This window comes from Homo sapiens, chromosome 10 (assembly GCF_000001405.40).
Source record: "Homo sapiens chromosome 10, GRCh38.p14 Primary Assembly".
Lineage (NCBI taxonomy): Eukaryota > Metazoa > Chordata > Mammalia > Primates > Hominidae > Homo > Homo sapiens.
Window position 1 is genome coordinate 117,409,306 of NC_000010.11, and position 3,365 is coordinate 117,412,670.

At 44.2% G+C, this 3,365-nt stretch overlaps 1 annotated feature.

Moving 5' to 3' along the window:
- Positions 2,123-2,611: a transcriptional cis regulatory region, noted in NCBI's record as "candidate enhancer chr10.4282 targeted for multiplex CRISPR interference". NCBI's record gives its function as "positively regulates PDZD8 gene expression in K562 cells {active_cell/tissue: K562}" and the evidence as "EXISTENCE:mutant phenotype evidence [ECO:0000015][PMID:30612741]".

Below are 3,365 nucleotides of genomic sequence, written 5' to 3' on the forward strand. Positions count from 1 at the left end.
TCAAATCTTCCTTCCTGCTTTAGAAAATGTCCTTAGCCTTCTAACTTTCTGTCTCTGCCAACTCTTCCCTTTGATATAACCGCATCATATTACTGAGAAGGAAAAAGCAGAAAAGCCATCCATTTAGATTTTCTTTCTGTTCTAAGCATGAAGTTAATCCACTGGAACAAAAACATTATTGATTTTTATCTGTTATAGTCTTCTCCCTGAAACAACAAATGTGTACTACTATTGGTATAATATTTGGCTTGTTTTGGATGTAGACCTTAATAAAAATTACGGTTCATTATTTTTTCATATTGCCTTTGCATGGCTCCTTTAGACTCAGTGGCACATGACACGTTTGGAAGTTGAAAGACTTTATATTTGACTATAATGCTTTTGATCAACAGAGCAAAGCCTGAAACAAAACCCAAAGCCAAACCAGGCAGGGGTGTGGGGACAACAGGAGAAACAGGTTCTGGGGAGAGTCCCTTTCCTTGATGTTCATTCAAAAATCAGTGAGAGTTTGTTGAGTGCATAACTAAGTTCTGGGCATTTAGCTAAAGATAGGATTACAGAGGTGAAAAAGCTGGACTTCTATTTCCCACATGGAGCTTATAGCCGAGGGAGAGGCAGGCAGAGATAAAGGAAAATGATGCAAATAAATGCATATTTGCAAGCTTTAACAAAGGCTATGGAGGAACAGTGCTTTGGCACGATGAGAGTGAGTATGAGCAACTCGGGCAACCAGCCTGAGGGGGCAGGGAAGGCTTCTCTGAGGAAGGCTATTTCCTTGAGATCTGAAGGGTGAGTAGGTGTTTAAGTGGGTGAAGTGGAGAGGTAGAGGTTGGGAGGTGGGGCATCTTCCAGACAAAGGGAACTTTGAGTATAGATATTCATTATGCCATTCCTGTAGGAACCCATAAAATGTAAATCTACACACACACACACACACACAGACCCACAGAATCATGGAGGAATGAGCCATCAGGCAGCTGTGCTCTGCTTTTTTTGCCATCTGCAGGTAGAAGAGGCTACTTGAGGCTTTCTGCCAGGCCTCTGACCCCATGTGAATCTCCCTGGATCATTTTAAGAGGATCCTGAAATCCTTGGTCCTGTGGAGTACCCCCAGGGCTCTCCCTGTGTCAGCCTCAACTACAGTGTATCAAGGAGCTCTCAAAAGAGCCTCAGCAAACAGAAAACAGGACACTTTATCAGAAAGAAAATTAATTTGGAGCTGTCTTTAGTTTTACCGTGTCTCTAAAGGGAGAAGATGGGATTCTTTGGGCATAAGGAGACGCCCACCTGGAATCTTCCCATCTGAGCTCTACCCATTGAGGTCTGCCCATCTGAGAGCTGCTCAGTGAGGTCTGCCCATCTGAAAGCTACCCATGGAGGTCTGCCCATCTGCCAGCCCAGCTGAGGGTTGCCCATCAAGATCTGCTTATCTGAAATCTGCCCATCTGAGGTCTGCCAGCCCTTCTGAGAAGGCCACCTGGAGGAATAAGTTTATCATCCCAGGAGCAGGAATCAACGTGGGATAAAATAGAGGACATGAGCAGAGGGCACCTGGCTTCTCCCCAGGACACCTTCTTGGCCGTTTCTAATGAACTGCTCCTTTCTGTGTGTCGCAGGACTTGGGGTGCACCTCTCTATCACAGCCTGCTATATAATGCTTTACCTACCTGTCTGTCTCCCCAAATAGTTGCTGGGTTCCTTGAGGGACTATATCTTTTTCAGTTTCTGTTCCATGCCTACTGTCTGGTATCTACATGATCAGCATTCAATCAATATTTCTTAAAGGCAGGAATACATTAATTATTAATTTTTACTCTGCTATCAGTCCCCAGGCATTTTGGGGCTGAACAGTGTTACTTAAAAATAGGTAAATGGGATTAAATTAATGGTATTATTCACATGGCCTTGCACATAGCTCAATCATGACATGTCGAATGGGCGGTTATCAATATCTCTGTGTTAATCCTCTGAAACTTACATGTAGCACAATTTATTTCTTAATGGCATTGATTTTGTAACAAGGCAGCATTTTGGGGGAGCATTCACACATCCCTAAGCTGATTATTTCAGTGAGTCAGAGATCTTTTCAATTACCATTCTCTTTGTACATAAGAGTCTATATTTCTGCCCCCTCATTAAAGAAAGGATGTTGGTCCTTTGGTTGGCACCAACCGTTGTAGGTCAGGACAATTTTTTATTTTTATTTTTTGTATTCAGGAAACAAAGGCTAAAAGTCCTTCAGCAATGGCAGTTGAGGTTTCTGTATCTCCTCCTTACATAATGAGTCCTGCCAGTTAGGACTGCACGAGGTGGGAGGAGGTGGCAGCTAGCCAGGAAGGCCTGTGGCATTTTGATAAACAGACATCAATATTTATCAGAGCTGCTCCGGTGTGCTTCCTTGGCTGCAGGAACAGGGAGCCCTCCCTGGGCTTGTATATTGTTTTCTCTGTATGAGATAAATGTTTGGGGCCATTAAAGAAAAAAAAATGTTTGTACTCTGCTCCCCAGTTACCTAAGCTAATTTACCTCACTAGGAGGTCTTGTAGTTCATTAATAATATACAAATACAAATCAAGGGAAGAAATTGCCTTGTTAATTGACTTTTGCGATGGTAATCTAAGACTCATTGACTTTAAACATTGCCCAACAACTGTGTTTATACCACACTGGAAGGATCAACTTTGGAGAATGCAGAAAGCTACCCAAAGCAGATACTTGAAATCATTGCTGCTTGGCTTTGTAAACAGACACCCATCTCCATTTGTTCTCTTTAGGCATCTGGAGGTAGAAGACAGAAAAGAGACTAAGAGCGGGGAATAGACTCAACCATTCTAGAATACAGCCCGGATGTGTTACAGGATCCTGCCCTGGAGTCCTCGCGCAATCAATGTTTATGCTGTGCTCTGCTGGGCTGTGCTGGGCTGGCCTGGGCTGTGCTGTGCTGTGCTGTGCTGTGCTGTGCTGTGCTGTGCTGTGCTGGGCTGTGCTGGGTTGTGCTAGGCGGTACTAGGTGTTGCTAGGCTCCTGCCCCATCACAAATGGTTGCAACAAGATTGATTAGAAAGGGTACCATTAGATTCAGCTGACTGGTTCAATTAGGAGAAAGGTTCATCACTCTTAACACATCAAATCTCCCCCTATGTCAGTCTTTCACTGACATCAGGGGCTGGGCTTCTGTCTCCTCTTCTCTTCTCTGATCATTGCCTGTGCAGAAGACATGGAACTTTTGTCTGTTCATTAATAGAGTCCAGTGGTAAGTTTTCCCAGGCCAGCCCTGGTGGTCAAATGCTCTGGATTCGATGCCTATCCATTCTCTCCTCACCCTGCAACCACCGGTCCCCAATTCCTACAAGTCTGGAGCTGGT